At 39.0% G+C, this 18,267-nt stretch overlaps 1 protein-coding gene across 16 annotated transcripts in view, besides 1 other annotated feature; it reads left to right on the plus strand.

Annotated features, from left to right (window-relative positions):
- PARD3B (par-3 family cell polarity regulator beta) overlaps nucleotides 1-18,267 on the plus strand; it is a 1,074,688-nt gene that overhangs the window by 440,066 nt on the left and 616,355 nt on the right. The window lies entirely within an intron of this gene.
- Nucleotides 10,704-11,297: an enhancer, noted in NCBI's record as "NANOG-H3K27ac-H3K4me1 hESC enhancer chr2:205860967-205861560 (GRCh37/hg19 assembly coordinates)". NCBI's record gives its function as "activates a minimal SCP1, AML or CMV promoter by ChIP-STARR-seq in primed H9 embryonic stem cells {active_cell/tissue: H9 hESC(primed)}" and the evidence as "EXISTENCE:reporter gene assay evidence [ECO:0000049][PMID:30033119]".

Below are 18,267 nucleotides of genomic sequence, written 5' to 3' on the forward strand. Positions count from 1 at the left end.
CACACATGAACGTGGCTGGAATTTGACCAAATGGACAGAGGGTCTTACTGAAACCGAACTGAGCATCTGCCGCCCTGACTTCTTCAGTGGCAGAGGGCCCACCTCAGCCACAGTTGTTATATGTGAAAAGCCACTGGAAAGAAGTGGAGACAATTGATGAAGCCCCGTGTACCAAGCTGGTTTCATATGGGGGGAAGATCTGGTGAGGGTTGGGGTGATGTGTACAGAATAGACAAAGGAGAAGGGGAGAAACATCTGGATTGTATTGAAAAAGGCTTAGCTAGGCGTGGTGGCTCACATCTGTAATCCCAGCACTTTAGGAGGCCGAGGTGGGTGGATTGCCTGAGCTCAGGAGCTCGAGACCAGCCTGGCAACATGGTGAAACCCCGTCTCTACTAAAAATACAAAAAGTTAGCCGGGCGTGATGGCAGGCGCCTGTAGCCCCAGCTACTCAGGAGGCTGAGGCAGGAGAATTGCTTGAATCCGGGAGGTGGAGCTTGCAGTGAGCCGAGATAGTGCCATTGCATTCCAGCCTGGACAACAGAGCGAGACTCTGTCTCCAAAAAAAAAAAAAAAAAAAAAAAAAGAGCTTATCTGGGCCCATATGCTAGGGACTTTCTTGGGTATGGCAGATCTCTGTCATCTTTTGATTGGATCCCTTTACTTCACTTAGACCTGTGTGTCACCTTTGCTGACTGCAAGGAAAGCTCAGGGCCTGCCAGTATGTAACCCAACAGTTGTATCAAAAGCACATAGGGCATAACAATATCCAAGTAAGTTTCTGAATTATCCTTCTTCAAAACATGTCTATACGACTATGAAGTGTTATCGACAGAGCATATCAACCCTAAACTGTGATTTGTCTCAGCAATGGCAGTTACTGATTTGTAATAATCAGTACTTTACCTAGTTTAAATCATAATCTCTCCTTGAGCTCTTAAATCCACTTTTGTAATCCATCAAACTAAATGTAAATCCCTCAGATGGTGACATCCAACAACTAGTTATTGTCTTTAGCCAGTTTATATTTTTAACGTACGCAATTAATACTATATATGCCTGTTAGCATTCCAAGATGATTTTTAGATTTCACAGATGAGGATTGTTCAGAGTTTCTCAGTCTTTTCTGTGAAGTTTAAAAAATCTCTTTGGCAAAAATTCCTAATGTGATAGCAGCTAGAAGAGTAATTTTCATTGGAATGACCTTTTCGATGGGTAATTTGACAGACGCTTGATGGACAGCATTCTTCCATCTCTCAGCCCACCTTTTACGTCCTGCCATAAAACGCTGGAGCAAAATTTTACCTCAGCTGATAAGATTCTCAATAGTCATGTGTTGCATATCTCCCTCAGAGCAGTTCCTCAAATTTTGAAAGCTGTCTTTCTTTTTGAGGTATTTTTCATTACCAGGAGAAAATGTTTCTTTTAGGGAGATATTCTAAAACAATAGCACAGGTACTGAACAAACTTCCCAAGTGTCTAAGGGACTCTCTCGTGTGGCTGTATAGTATTGGTTTGGTGTATTAAATGGCACTCTCATGTACTATAAGAGTTAACACAACTTCCAAAGGTGCCTTTCCTCACAATAAGAGAACAGATTTGACTTTGGAAAAAAAATGTGACTATGAAGTACCCAGTTAAAATACCCTAAAAGAAAAAAATGAAAGCACTTACTGGTAAAATGAAGACAATCAACTTGCAAATAAATGTGTTTTTAAGATGTGGCCCTGGGGTGACATGCAAATTCAAAAGACTAATATTTTCTCTGGGAATAAAACATTTTGGAAGATATTTTATCTTGAATTCTGAAAATATTGCCAGAATAGAATGCTTGTTGATTGATAAAATATGTGCTTTCATGAAGAATATTTCTTATGGTATTACCTTTGTCAAAGAAAAGATTCTGTAGTTTGGGGAGATAAATTATAAAGATGATACATACTTATTTGTGTATGTGTTTGTCTGTCTTCTCTTTCTAGAAGGTATGTTGATGAACTCAGATCATCATCTCTTTTGTCCACTGTTGTATCTGTAGTCCCTGGCACAATGCCTGGTGTGTAGTGGTCAGTCAATAATTATTTGCTGAATGAATGCATAAACAAATCAAATTAACAAATTAAACTCTAGATTTTCATCTTCTTCAGAATTTTTTTTTTCAGTGTTCCAAGACTAAGGACTTTTCATTGTCTTTCAAGTTGGGATCTTAATCTTATTTACTGCTTTTCATACAACAAACGTGTTAAACATGTATCAGAAAAAATTAGAAACATTATCTGTGATTCTTATATAGGGAGGTGATTTCATTCCATTAGCTTTTTGGGGGGAATTCATGGGTTTGTCACTCTGTTAATCCAGCTGACAAGCAGAATCCAAAGGGTGACAGTTAGAAGGCTGGAAGGGAAAGGGATTGTTGATGTGGAAATGAAAAATAGACTTCAGGGAAAGAGGTAGTTAGATGAAAATATGGCAAAAGAGAGAGAGAGAGAAACACCTAGAGTCCAGTGGGGGTCATCACATTGCAGGAGGAGGATGAGGGCATGAAGGGGGTCCTTGGAGAAGTTCTGGAGAGAAAAAAGCTGAGACAAAAAGGAGATGAAGTTATGGTCAAGCCAGAGAAGACATTGGATTAGCACTGCATGCATGATAAACCAGCCATGCTACTAGTATAATTCTGACATTTTGGAAATATTGAAATCCTACATGAAGAATAAATGGTGTCTGTATTTTCTCAGACAATGAATTTGTTCAAAACAATTGAACTCATGGACATAGAGAGTAGAAGAATGGTTACCAGAGGCTGAGAAGGTAGTGGGGGGCATGTGGAGGACAGGTGGGGATGGTTAATGGTATAAAAAATAGAATGAATAAGACATAGAATGACTATGACACACAACATGGTGACTATAGTCAATAATAATGTAATTGTACATTTCAAAATAACTAAAAGATTGTAATTGTTTGTAACACAAAGGATAAATACTTGAGGGGGTGGATACCCCATTCTCCATGATGTGCTTATTTCATATTACATACCTGTATCAAAACATCTCATGTACTCCATAAATATATATACCTATTGTGTACCCACAATAATTAAAAATAAAAATAAATGAATTTGTGACCTAAATAAGTATGCATGACAGAAAAAGAGAACTTTGTTCAAAAATTTTAGATTTGGAAATTGTTCTTCATATCATACTCCTGAACTGACTTAGTTTCCACTCACATTTAAAATAACTGAAAAAGAGAAATGAGAGAAATTTACAAGAAATGGTGTGCCCATATTATAGGGTGACAGTTAAATGCTGTCCACGCCCTGACACCACACACCCAAAGAAGATTAGATCTATTTAACAATGAAAAGAATGGACTGCTACAAAAAGAAATACGTTCATCTCTTTGTTCTTGCATTAAATGAGAAATATTTATCAGGTACTGTTCATGTTCTAGGCACTGGGTGGTAAACCTCCAGCAGTGCACAAGATAGCAGTGGTCTTTGCTGTCACCAAGTGTACTGCCTAGTATAGGAAGTAATCACAAAAACAGTTTAAATGTAATGTTAAGGGGGGTACAGGCTACAGTCAGCACTCAGGGCAGTGTCCCTTTACCTAAGAAAGGAGCTGGGGAGGGTAAGTTCAAGGACGATTTTTCAAAGGAAGTGAGGGATTGACCAGGCAAGTGGAAATGGAAAGAATATTTCTAGGATTGCATGCTCAGGAAAAAGAAAAAAGCCAAGTATGACTGCCATAAGGAATGTAAGGTAGGGAAAAATTGGGAGAGAAGTATGGTGAGATTTTTCTGGAAACCAGGATGGAACCAGAACTGGAAGCACTTACATAGCCAAGGTAAGGAGCCAGGACATTTTACTAGAGGCCAGCGAAAGGATTTATTTTTAAATTAAATATTGAATTTGAGAGTTTTCTAAAACTGTGGTATGTATGAAGAGAAGCAACGCAGTGAGCACCCATGTAACTAACACCTGATTTGAGAAACTGGGCTGTCATTATCTTTGAAGTCCCCTCTGTACCCCTTGCTAATTCCATCTATTTCACTTTTCTGTGGAATAATCATTCCTTTGCTTTTCTTTATAATTTTACCATGAATTTTCATATCTCTATGGAGTTCATTGTTTAGTTTTGTGTGATTTTGAGCTTTATAAATGGAAGTATACTGAAAATTTTTTCTGTACCTTTTTCTCCTTAATATTGCACTCCTAAGGAGTATCATGTTGTTGAATGTAGCCCATTATCCATTCATTTCATTGCAGTATAGTTTCCTTTTTTAAAAAAATGGATATTTGCATTATTTCCAGGTTTTTGCTCTTACATGCAGCATAACTATAAACCACCTTCTTCACATAGTCAATGAACATATAACAATTTTCTCTAGGTAAATATACTTAGAATGAAATTGTTTGTTTATAGAATATATTACTTTTGAAATATATTAGATAATGCCAAATTGCTTCCCACAGTAATTTTACTAATTCTTTAAACTACTAAATGTAAAATAGAATTCCAGTTTTTACATGGTCAGCAAAACAATATAGCTAGATTTTAAATTTTCGCCAATTTTATGGATATGAAATATTTCATTGTGATTGAGCTCAAGCATATTTTAATGTAATTATTGACCATTCAGATTTACTCTTCTGTGATGTTCCTGGTAAGATTTTTGACAATTTTTTTACTCATTGATTTGCAGGAACTCTTTAAAAACATTTTTTTTTTTTTACTGATAATAATTGTACGTATTTTTGGAGTACATGTGATATTTGATATATGCATACAATGCATAATGATCACTTCAGGATTATTAGCGTATCACCTCAAACATATCATGTTTCTTTGTGTTGGGAACATTTTGAATATTCTCTTTTAGCTATCTTGAAATATACAACAAATTATTGTTAACTATAGTCACCGTACCATGCTGTTGAACACTAGAACTAATTGTATGTTGATACCCATTAACAAACCTTTCTTTCTCCCTCCCACTTTCCAGACTCTAGTAACTATCATTCTACTCTCTGATTCACAGGAATTATTTACATATTAAGAACACTAATAATTTGTAGATTGTATCTGTCTGTGTGTGTATGTGTGTGTGTGTATGCTACAAATATCTTGCCCCAGTTAATGACTTGTCTTCTCTTCCTGTATGTTTTTTGATGACCAGGAATTGTTGATTTTAATAGAGTCAACATTTTTATGTTTGAATATTTTGTATCTTATTTAAGAAATCTTTCCCTACCTAAAGCCATAGAGAGACTCTTCTACTTTATATAAAAGTTTCATAATTTTGTCTGTTTAAAAGTTTACTTTACATAGGATAACTTTTTATTTTAGCATATGGTGTGAGATAGGGGTACAGCTTTTCCACCATACACGTGATCAATTGTCAGGCATCATTTATTATAAAGCCTGTCATTTCTCTACAGGAACACACAGCTATTATAATTCTGTGAAATTCAAATGTCTTAGTATTTCTGTGTCTGCTTCTGGATGCTCTAAACTATTTCAGTTGTCATTCTTTTTTTTTTTTTATTATACTTATATAAGTTTTAGGGTACATGTGCACATTGTGCAGGTTAGTTACATATGTATACATGTGCCATGCTGGTGCGCTGCACCCACTAACGCATCATCTAGCATTAGGTATATCTCCCAATGCTATCCCTCCCCCCTCCCCCCAACCCACCACAGTCCCCAGAGTGTGATATTCCCCTTCCTGTGTCCATGTGATCTCATTGTTCAATTCCCACCTATGAGTGAGAATATGCGGTGTTTGGTTTTTTGTTCTTGCGATAGTTTACTGAGAATGATGTTTTCCAATTTCATCCATGTCCCTACAAAGGACATGAACTCATCATTTTTTATGGCTGCATAGTATTCCATGGTGTATATGTGCCACATTTTCTTAATCCAGTCTATCATTGTTGGACATTTGGCTTGGTTCCAAGTCTTTGCTATTGTGAATAATGCCGCAATAAACATACGTGTGCATGTGTCTTTATAGCAGCATGATTTATAGTCCTTTGGGTATATACCCAGTAATGGGATGGCTGGGTCAAATGGTATTTCTAGTTCTAGATCCCTGAGGAATCGCCACACCGACTTCCACAATGGTTGAACTAGTTTACAGTCCCACCAACAGTGTAAAAGTGTTCCTATTTCTCCACATCCTCTCCAGCACCTGTGGTTTCCTGACTTTTTAATGATTGCCATTCTAACTGGTGTGAGATGGTATCTCATAGTGGTTTTGATTTGCATTTCTCTGATGGCCAGTGATGATGAGCATTTTTTCATGCGTTTTTTGGCTGCATAAATGTCTTCTTTTGAGACGTGTCTGTTCATGTCCTTCACCCACTTTTTGATGGGGTTGTTTGTTTTTTTCTTGTAAATTTGTTGGAGTTCATTGTAGATTCTGGATATTAGCCCTTTGTCAGATGAGTAGGTTGCAAAAATTTTCTCCCATGTTGTAGGTTGCCTGTTTACTCTGATGGTAGTTTCTTTTGCTGTGCAGAAGCTCTTTAGTTTAATTAGATCCCATTTGTCAATTTTGGCTTTTGTTGCCATTGCTTTTGGTGTTTTGGACATGAAGTCTTTGCCCACGCCTATGTCCTGAATGGTAATGCCTAGGTTTTCTTCTAGGGTTTTTATGGTTTTAGGTCTAACGTTTAAATCTTTAATCCATCTTGAATTGATTTTTGTATAAGGTGTAAGGAAGGGATCCAGTTTCAGCTTTCTACATATGGCTAGCCAGTTTTCCCAGCACCATTTATTAAATACGGAATCCTTTCCCCATTGCTTGTTTTTCTCAGGTTTGTCAAAGATCAGATAGTTGTAGGTACGTGGCGTTATTTCTGAGGGCTCTGTTCTGTTCCATTGATCTATATCTCTGTTTTGGTACCAGTACCATGCTGTTTTGGTTACTGTAGCCTTGTAGTATAGTTTGAAGTCAAGTAGTGTGATGCCTCCAGCTTTGTTCTTTTGGCTTAGGATTGCCTTGGCGATGCGGGCTCTTTTTTGGTTCCATATGAACTTTAAAGTAGTTTTTTCCAATTCTGTGAAGAAAGTCATTGGTAGCTTGATGGGGATGGCATTGAATCTGTAAATTACCTTGGGCAGTATGGCCATTTTCACGATATTGATTCTTCCTACCCATGAGCATGGAATGTTCTTCCATTTGTTTGTGTCCTCTTTTATTTCCTTGAGCAGTGGTTTGTAGTTCTCCTTGAAGAGGTCCTTCCCATCCCTTGTAAGTTGGATTCCTAGGTATTTTATTCTCTTTGAAGCAATTGTGAATGGGAGTTCACTCATGATTTGGCTCTCTGTTTGTCTGTTGGTGCTGTATAAGAATGCCTGTGATTTTTGTACATTGATTTTGTATCCTGAGACTTTGCTGAAGTTGCTTATCAGCTTAAGGAGATTTTGGGCTGAGACGATGGGGTTTTCTAGATAAACAATCATGTCGTCTGCAAACAGGGACAATTTGACTTCCTCTTTTCCTAATTGAATACCCTTTATTTCCTTCTCCTGCCTGATTGCCCTGGCCAGAACTTCCAACACTATGTTGAATAGGAGTGGTGAGAGAGGGCATCCCTGTCTTGTGCCAGTTTTCAAAGGGAATGCTTCCAGTTTTTGCCCATTCAGTATGATATTGGCTGTGGGTCTGTCATAGATAGCTCTTATTATTTTGAAATACGTCCCATCAATGCCTAATTTATTGAGAGTTTTTAGCATGAAGGGTTGTTGAATTTTGTCAAAGGCTTTTTCTGCATCTATTGAGATAATCATGTGGTTTTTGTCTTTGGCTCTGTTTATATGCTGGATTACATTTATTGATTTGCGTATATTGAACCAGCCTTGCATCCCAGGGATGAAGCCCACTTGATCATGGTGGATAAGCTTTTTGATGTGCCGCTGGATTCGTTTTGCCAGTATTTTATTGAGGATTTTTGCATCAATGTTTATCAAGGATATTGGTCTAAAATTCTCTTTTTTGGTTGTGTCTCTGCCTGGCTTTGGTATCAGAATGATGCTGGCCTCATAAAATGAGTTAGGGAGGATTCCCTCTTTTTCTATTGATTGGAATAGTTTCAGAAGGAATGGTACCAGTTCCTCCTTGTACCTCTGGTAGAATTCGGCTGTGAATCCATCTGGTCCTGGACTCTTTTTGGTTGGTAAACTATTGATTATCGCCACAATTTCAGCTCCTGTTATTGGTCTATTCAGAGATTCAACTTCTTCCTGGTTTAGTCTTGGGAGATTGTATGTGTCGAGGAATGTATTCATTTCTTCTAGATTTTCTAGTTTATTTGCGTAGAGGTGTTTGTAGTATTCTCTGATGGTAGTTTGTATTTCTGTGGGATCGGTGGTGATATCCCCTTTATCATTTTTTATTGCATCTATTTGATTCATCTCTCTTTTTTTCTTTATTAGTCTTGCTAGCGGTCTATCAATTTTGTTGATCCTTTCAAAAAACCAGCTCCTGGATTCATTAATTTTTTGAAGGGTTTTTTGTGTCTCTATTTCCTTCAGTTCTGCTCTGATTTTAGTTATTGCTTGCCTTCTGCTAGCTTTTGAATGTGTTTGCTCTTGCTTTTCTAGTTCTTTTAATTGTGATGTTAGGGTGTCAATTTTGGATCTTTCCTGCTTTCTCTTGTAGGCATTTAGTGCTATAAATTTCCCTCTACACACTGCTTTGAATGCGTCCCAGAGATTCTGGTATGTTGTGTCTTTGTTCTCGTTGGTTTCAAAGAACATCTTTATTTCTGCCTTCATTTCGTTATGTACCCAGTAGTCATTCAGGAGCAGGTTGTTCAGTTTCCATGTAGTTGAGCGGCTTTGAGTGAGATTCTTAATCCTGAGTTCTAGTTTGATTGCACTGTGGTCTGAGAGATAGTTTGTTATAATTTGTGTTCTTTTACATTTGCTGAGGAGAGCTTTACTTCCAAGTATGTGGTCAATTTTGGAATAGGTGTGGTGTGGTGCTGAAAAAAATGTATATTCTGTTGATTTGGGGTGGAGAGTTCTGTAGATGTCTATTAGGTCCGCTTGGTGCAGAGCTGAGTTCAATTCCTGGGTATCCTTGTTGACTCTGTATCTCGTTGATCTGTCTAATGTTGACAGTGGGGTGTTAAAGTCTCCCATTATTAATGTGTGGGAGTCTAAGTCTCTTTGTAGGTCACTCAGGACTTGCTTTATGAATCTGGGTGCTCCTGTATTGGGTGCATAAATATTTAGGATAGTTAGCTCCTCTTGTTGAATTGATCCCTTTACCATTATGTAATGGCCTTCTTTGTCTCTTTTGATCTTTGTTGGTTTAAAGTCTGTTTAATCCGAGACTAGGATTGCAACCCCTGCCTTTTTTTGTTTTCCATTGGCTTGGTAGATCTTCCTCCATCCTTTTATTTTGAGCCTATGTGTGTCTCTGCACGTGAGATGGGTTTCCTGAATACAGCACACTGATGGGTCTTGACTCTTTATCCAACTTGCCAGTCTGTGTCTTTTAATTGGAGAATTTAGTTCATTTATATTTAAAGTTAATATTGTTATGTGTGAATTTGATCCTGTCATTATGATGTTAGCTGGTGATTTTGCTCATTAGTTGATGCAGTTTCTTCCTAGTCTCAATGGTCTTTACATTTTGGCATGATTTTGCAGTGGCTGATACTGGTTGTTCCTTTCCATGTTTAGCGCTTCCTTCAGGAGCTCTTTTAGGGCAGGCCTTGTGGTGACAAAATCTCTCAGCATTTGCTTGTCTATAAAGTATTTTATTTCTCCTTCACTTATGAAGCTTAGTTTGGCTGGATATGAAATTCTGGGTTGAAAATTCTTTTCTTTAAGAATGTTGAATATTGGCCCCCACTCTCTTCTGGCTTGTAGGGTTTCTGCCGAGAGATCCACTGTTAGTCTGATGGGCTTCCCTTTGAGGGTAACCCGACCTTTCTCTCTGACTGCCCTTAACATTTTTTCCTTCATTTCAACTTTGGTGAATCTGACAATTATGTGTCTTGGAGTTGCTCTTCTCGAGGAGTATCTTTGTGGCGTTCTCTGTATTTCCTGAATCTGAACGTTGGCCTGCCTTGCTAGATTGGGGAAGTTCTCCTGGATAATATCCTGCAGAGTGTTTTCCAACTTGGTTCCATTCTCCACATCACTTTCAGGTACACCAATCAGACGTAAATTTGGTCTTTTCACATAGTCCCATATTTCTTGGAGGCTTTGCTCATTTCTTTTTATTCTTTTTTCTCTAAACTTCCCTTCTCGCTTCATTTCATTCATTTCATCTTCCATTGCTGATACCCTTTCTTCCAGTTGATCGCATCAGCTCCTGAGGCTTCTGCATTCTTCACGTAGTTCTCGAGCCTTGGTTTTCAGCTCCATCAGCTCCTTTAAGCACTTCTCTGTATTGGTTATTCTAGTTATACATTCTTCTAAATTTTTTTCAAAGTTTTCAACTTCTTTGCCTTTGGTTTGAATGTCCTCCCGTAGCTCAGAGTAATTTGATCGTCTGAAGCCTTCTTCTCTCAGCTCGTCAAAATCATTCTCCATCCAGCTTTGTTCCGTTGCTGGTGAGGAACTGCGTTCCTTTGGAGGAGGAGAGGCGCTCTGCGTTTTAGAGTTTCCAGTTTTTCTGTTCTGTTTTTTCCCCATCTTTGTGGTTTTATCTACTTTTGGTCTTTGATGATGGTGATGTACAGATGGGTTTTCGGTGTGGATGTCCTTTCTGGTTGTTAGTTTTCCTTCTAACAGACAGGACCCTCAGCTGCAGGTCTGTTGGAATACCCTCCCGTGTGAGGTGTCAGTGTGCCCCTGCTGGGGGGTGCCTCCCAGTTAGGCTGCTCAGGGGTCAGGGGTCAGGGACCCACTTGAGGAGGCAGTGTGCCGGTTCTCAGATCTCCAGCTGCGTGCTGGGAGAACCACTGCTCTCTTCAAAGCTGTCAGACAGGGCCATTTAAGTCTGCAGAGGTTACTGCTGTCTTTTTGTTTGTCTGTGCCCTGCCCCCAGAGGTGGAGCCTACAGAGGCAGGCAGGCCTCCTTGAGTTGTGGTGGGCTCCACCCAGTTCGAGCTTCCCGGCTGCTTTGTTTACCTAAGCAAGCCTGGGCAATGGCGGGCGCCCCTCCCCCAGCCTCGTTGCCGCCTTGCAGTTTGATCTCAGACTGCTGTGCTAGCAATCAGCGAGATTCCGTGGGCGTAGGACCCTCCGAGCCAGGTGTGGGATATAGTCTCGTGGTGCGCCGTTTTTTAAGCCGGTCTGAAAAGCGCAATATTCGGGTGGGAGTGACCCGATTTTCCAGGTGCGTCCGTCACCCCTTTCTTTGACTCGAAAAGGGAACTCCCTGACCCCTTGCGCTTCCCAGGTGAGGCAATGCCTCGCCCTGCTTCGGCTCGCACATGGTGCGCGCACACACTGGCCTGCGCCCACTGTCTGGCACTCCCTAGTGAGATGAACCCGGTACCTCAGATGGAAATGCAGAAATCACCCGTCTTCTGCGTCGCTCACGCTGGGAGCTGTAGACCGGAGCTGTTCCTATTCGGCCATCTTGGCTCCTCCCCTCCTCAGTTGTCATTCTTTCAATTCTTGTAATTCCATACCCTAACTTTATAATACTCCGTGATATCTGTCAGGGTAGGTTCCTGTGTTGTTCACAGCCAAGAATGGTCAGGCTGTTCTTGGCCCTTTGTTCTTCCACTTTAATTTTAGAACTGGCCGGTTAAATTTCAGAAGCAGAAACCTATGAGATTTTGATTGGGATTGAATTGAATTTGTAGATTAGTTTGGAGAGAATTGGCATTCTTACAATACTGAGTCTTCACATGAATGAACATGCTATATCTTCTCTGCATTTATTTACAACTTCTTTATTGCCCTTCAGTAAGGGTTGATGATCTCTTCATAAAGTTTTTGTACCTATTTGGATCTATTCCTAAGTACCTGATATTTTGATGCTATTATAAAGAAAGTTACTAAAATGTTTTGTTTCTGTTTGTCACTGGCTTAGAGAAATTCAGTTGATTTTTTTAAGCCAGAAAGTATTCTTTAGACTTTCGTGGACACTAATAATTTAACTGAGTCTCTTTTAGGGGTTTTACACAATTATGTCATCTATGATTGACTATTCTTTTCAAATTATTTTATTTTTTTACTAATTCTTATACTTGTCCTTCTTGCATTACTACACTTAGAGCTCCAGTGTTGGATAGAATGAGTGATAGCTGATTTTGTTCATAATCTTAATGAAGACTAGTTCATGTTTTTAGTTTTGCTATACATTTATAGATATATAATTATTTTATATTAATTTATACTTGTATACACATCTTTAAATATTATAAAATATTTACAGTAATGTAGATATTTATTATTTATATACTTAATATTTTTATTTGTTATATATAGTGAGTGTATGTGTATATATATATATGTGCATATATACACATATAATCAATATTGAAAAGTTGAGTCAGCTCTTATTTTCTTATTAAGGTTATGAATAAGATGACTTGTTGCCACCAATTCTGTTCAGTACTGGAGATCTTAACATAGTAAGGCAAGAAAGACAAATATAAGAATTAGAGAAGACACGGGGAGGGGAACATCACACACCAGGGCCTGTCATGGGGTGGGATCTAGGAGAGGGATAGCATTAGGGGAAATACCTAATGTAGATGATGGGTTGGTGGGTGCAGCAAACCACCATGGCATGTGTATACCTATGTAACAAACATGCACATTCTGCACATGTATCCCAGAACTTAAAGTATATATATATATATATATATATATATATATATATATATATATATATGTGTGTGTGTGTGTGTATATATGTGTGTGTATATATGTATATATGTGTATATATATGTATATATGTGTATATATATGTGTGTGTATATATATGTGTATATTATATATGTATATATATGTGTATATAATATATGTATATATATGTGTATATATATATGTGTGTGTATATATATGTGTGTATATATATATAAAGAATTAGAGAAGAAATGAAAAACTTTTTTTTTAGGTTAAGGAAGTTTCTTTTAATTTCTAATCACTAAAAGTTTTTGATATAAAGGAATGTTAAATTCTACTAAACATTTTTCCATATCCACTGAGGTGGTTAAATGTTTTTCGCTTTTCATCTATTAATATGATATATTGTATTGATTGAGTAATTATAGTTTCGCAGTGTTGCCAGGCTAGAGTGCAATGGCGCGATCTCGGCTCACTGCAACTTCTGACACCCTGGTTCAAGTGATTCTCCTGCCTCAGCCTCCCGAGTAGCTGGGGTTACAGGCATGCGCCAACACGCCCAGCTGATTTTTGTATTTTCAGTAGAGACAAGGTTTCAGTGTGCTGGACAGGATGGTCTTGATCTCCTGACTTCGTGATCCAAAGTGCTGGGATTACAGGCGTGAGGCACCATGCCTGGCTGATTTTTTAAAATTTAAATTAAACTGGCACTTCTAGAGTAATCTCAAACTGGCAATAAAGTGTAATCTTTTTTATGCATCGCTGGGTTCAGTTTGCTAATGCTTTCTTACTTTTTTTTTTTTTGCCAATATTTTCTTCAGGATGTCTGTATCTGTTTTTAAGATCATCCTATAATTTCCAATTGTTGAACTGCAAACTTCTTTTCAACCCTAAAATCCAATGGTCCTATAATTCATTATCGTTGTCATCATCATTTACCTCATTGCTACAAAAGCACTAAGGAAAGAAAGGAGATGGAAGGAATGACTCGTTTTGCCTTGTTAAATGGAAGTATATTTAAAATGTGATACTCTCTTAAGAATGATTTTTTTAAAACATTTACTTAGAATTTCCATGGTTTCATACTGTCTGAAATTAATTCATGAAACCTTTTTCTATGAGTCTCACTAACTTGCTATAGAATGTACCAAGAAACTATTTAAAATTGAATTCTGAGCTTTGAACATGTTCTTTTTCAGTTTCACCTGATACCAGTTCCAAGCGCACCCAATCTTTTCTATCCACTGGAGATGAGAACGTTTTCCCTGTGATGTTTAAACTTAATTCCAGAGCCACAATCCCACTGATAATCATTGTCCTTTTCTCCTATACATTAAAGTGGTCTTCTTAATTGCTATAATATTCACAAGGAGCCTATTGGAACTGGAGTACTCTCAGATGAAGAACAGTATTGTAGGTGATAAAGATAAAGTGGTATTGAGAACTACCCAATTTACTTCAGTGAATTCAATCTTTCTTAGGAAGCAAGTGGTACCTGATATATTTACCTGAACTTTTGGAGTGATAAGGAAAATGTTTGGCATGCATTCAGGACCAGAGAAACTTTAAAGGTTTATCTCAGCAAAATAGTATTGGAAAAATGATCTATTTACTTATACGATACAAGGGTATTTCCAGTTCTTTGATTCTGGGGGTTTGCAGAATTGTTACCAATGAGAAATATAAGGAGTGTTCAAGTCACAGGGTTTTTTTTTTTTTATCGTGCTCCTTTTGCCTGTGTGGAAGAGTCATGCATCTGTTGGGGTATACTGAACAGGCAGCTTTGTGGCCTACTCCTGAAACTTTTACTGGAATATTATTATATAAAACACAGACTGACCAAGGCAGATACCACATGCTAGAAGAGTTCTGGGTAGTACAACATTAACAATATTCCCTTTCCTATGGTAATGGGTGCAGTGGTGCACAGCTTGATTTGCTACATTAGGCTTGTTAAATTATGTTTTCAGTGTGGCCACGGCCTTGTGTTTTCTACTGAGTGAGCCTGCTCAGGTGTCACACATAAAATCTGTTGCTGATATTTATTGAGTGTGTGTAGTGGTTGGGGGACGAGATAAGGTTAGAGAAATAACCTTTCTTAGTTCTGGTTTTTATTAGATTTCCCTAAAAATTCCATGTTTGTTATATTATGTTCCATGTATGCCTGAATATATGGCACAGTCACATAAAAAGCAATCCCCCATTTTCCCAATGAGAATACAACCCTTTTAAGGAGATAGATGAAATATCCAAACGTCTACTCAAGTTTAATTGATTAACTTACTAAGATATACATTTTATAATCATATGCAAACTTTATTTGAGAAATGTTGATCTTTTCCATGCTCACATTTTACAGGTTCATTTTATTCAAACTTATCACATGGGTTGTTGATATGAATGCCTTCCTATCATGGGAGCAATTTTTTTTAGAGTTTCAAACTGATTTCCTGAGTACATCGTCCCTACTTCCATCCATATTGCTTGAGACACTGAACTTCTTAAATCTGTGCAAGGTACTGTCACTAGAAGTTTTATCCTGAGACATGCTTTGCATAACATTAGGGCCTTAGGGTTTTTTGGTTTGTTTCTGTTTTGTTTTGTCTTTTGGTTTTGCAGGTAGAAGCCTGTAACTTTGACTTTACTGTATTGCTTTTACGAGGTGTTTTTTGTTTGTTTGTTTGTTTGTTTTTTAGACAGAGTTTTGCTCTTTTTGCCCAGGCTGAATGCAATGGTGCTATCTTGGCTCACTGCAACCTCTGCCTCCCAGGTTCAAGTGATTCTCCTGCCTCAGCCTCCCTAGTAGCTGGGATTACAGGTGCCTGCAACCACACCTGGCTAATTTTCATATTTTTAGTAGAGATGGGGTTTCACCATGTTGGCCAGGCTGGTCTCGAACTCCTGACCTCAGGTGATCTGCTCACCTCGGCCTCCCAAAATGCTGGAAATACAGGCGTGAGCCACTGCACCCAGCCTGCAATGCTCTTTCAGTGGATAGCCAATACTTTCAATTGCTAGAACCCACTCTAGGGATCCTAACTCTTTCTTTGGTTCTTTTATTACTAATTATTCATCATTTGTGTTGGAATAGGCTGAACCCCTGTATCTTGGTAACCAAATACAACAGCATTTATTTCCTTTTCATACAGAGCCCTTACATATCCTGATGGCTCTCCAGAACAATAGCTTTACTGGGAGACTCTGACCCAGTGTGACAGGCACCGTCAGCTGAAGCTGCACCGTCCAGAATACCTGGCCTTCCTGGTTGGCACGTGAGAGTGATAAACCTGGGTGGTCTCAAACAGGCAGTTAAAAACTTTGAAGCAGCACATACTGCTTTTGCTGTTCACTCATTGATCAGAACACATCAGTGGAAATGGCAGGGAGGCGTAATGTGCTCCTCCCATGTGCCAGGTGGCAGAAAACTCCTTGTAGGGCAAACACCACACGGTTGCACAATACCCAGCACTTGCACTGGTGGAAAGTTGTTCCAGGCTGATGTGCGCCTTATGACAACAGTAGAGAGCAGCTCCACGATGAGAGAAGCTTTTTAGTGTTGAGGACTACATTGGAGACGATGCTGTCACCTAATATATCTCATACATGGTATTGAATGAAGAAAAGGAGAAGTAGAAATACACTGAAATTTAATTGGGCTCCTTTATGGATTAAATTTAGGAAGAAATCTTGAGAATTTCCCCCTAAACAAAAATATATTTACTCCATTCCCTAATATAAGTAGCTACGATTAACATTCATATGACACATGTGAGTAGTTTAAAAACCCAACTGCCTGTCAATTCCCTTAAAGCTTGTCAATAGTCATGTGGTAGATAGCATTTATAGGGTGACAGTGTATGTTTCTAGCCTACCAGCCAAGCAAGTCATAAATAAGTTTTGGCCGTCTCTCAAACAGCCCTGTTTCATCCCCTTGTAGACTGTTAACTACATTTAAAAAGTAAAGTCTAAAGCTTTAAATAGGTCACATTCTGGCTCTGACATTTCAGACAGACCACATCATTGAATGGTGCCAGACCCTGTGCTGGCTTTCCTTAATATTTCTTTAAGATGAAATCTGTCCTATTCCCACCCCTACCCAGCTTCCTCTGCGACTGACATCTTTACCTGGAGGAAAACATTTCATTTTCCCAAGTCCAAATTATATGCTTCATTTTTCACAGAGTCATCCTTGTCTCCTCTCTGCTGTCCTGAAGCAGTGCCTTTTCTGCATCCTGGTAGGCTCAACCACTTCTTATCTCTGACCACATCTACCTCAACAGCTCCAGAGCAGCCTCCATCCTCTCGCGCTCTGATGTCCTCCTGCCTGCTCTTCTGCCTCCACCCTGCCTGCTCCACAGCCTATTCTTAACTTGCAACAAGAGTCCCTCTTCAAAATAGCCATCAGATCAGGTCTTTCCCCTGCTTCATATCATCTAGTGGCTCCCCCTTTCATTCAGAGGAAAAGCCACATTTCTTACAATGGGCGGATTATTTTTCTGTTGATGCCATAAGAAATTACCACAAACTCAGTGACTTCGTATGAATTTATTGTCTTACATTTCTGGAGTCTCGCCGGGGTAATGCACTCCTCCCATGTGCTGGGTGGGAGAAAACTCCTTGTAGGGCAAACACCACAAGGCTGCACAACACCCAGCACTTGCACTGGTCGAAGGTTGTTCCAGGCTGATGTGGAGCTTAACAAGGACTTAACAAGACTGAGTTCCTTGCTAGAAGCTCTGGCAGAGAATCTGGCTTTTTCCAGTGTGTAGAGACCACCTGCATTCCTTGGCTCCTGGTCCCCTTCCATCTTCAAAGCCGGCAATGGCCGTCCGGTCTTTATTGTGCTGTGCCATTTCGACATTGACTGCCTTTCCTCCCTCTTCACTTTTATAGGGGACCTTGTGATTACATTGGACTGAGCCATTTAGATAATCCAGGACAGTCTTCCTCTGCTAAGGTCAGCTGCTAAGCAACCTTATTTCTTCTACTTGCGATCTTAATTTCTCCATAATAGGTTCACAGGTTCCAGCAATTAGGAGATGGACTTTTTTGGGGGGCATTGGGGGTGGTTATTCTGCCTAGCAGGGTACAAGGCCTTCATGATCTAGCCTGTTACTTCTCTGACCTCATGCCCTACTACTTTTTCTTACAAAGTAGGGCTTCCCCCTGATGGTGTCACCACCTCAGAGACCCATGGAGCTAATTATCTCGTGACCTTTAAGCCTTTGCTCAAAAGTCGCCTTCTCAGTAAGCTCTGTTCTGACCACTTTACTGAATTGTAGCCCACAGTCTGCTTTGTGTTTTTCCATAGCACGTATCCACATCTAACATAGGAAACAGTTTATTTTTATGTTTGTTGTCTGTAACATAAGCTCTTGCAGAGCTCAGATTTCTGTCTGTTTTTCCTCTGTTGTATCACCAGCACCTTGAATAGTGTCTGGCACATAGTAGGCAAACAATAAATATTTGTGGAATAATGGACAGATTCTTGAGA

The sequence above is a fragment of the Homo sapiens genome, chromosome 2 (assembly GCF_000001405.40).
Source record: "Homo sapiens chromosome 2, GRCh38.p14 Primary Assembly".
Classification (NCBI taxonomy): Eukaryota; Metazoa; Chordata; class Mammalia; order Primates; family Hominidae; genus Homo; species Homo sapiens.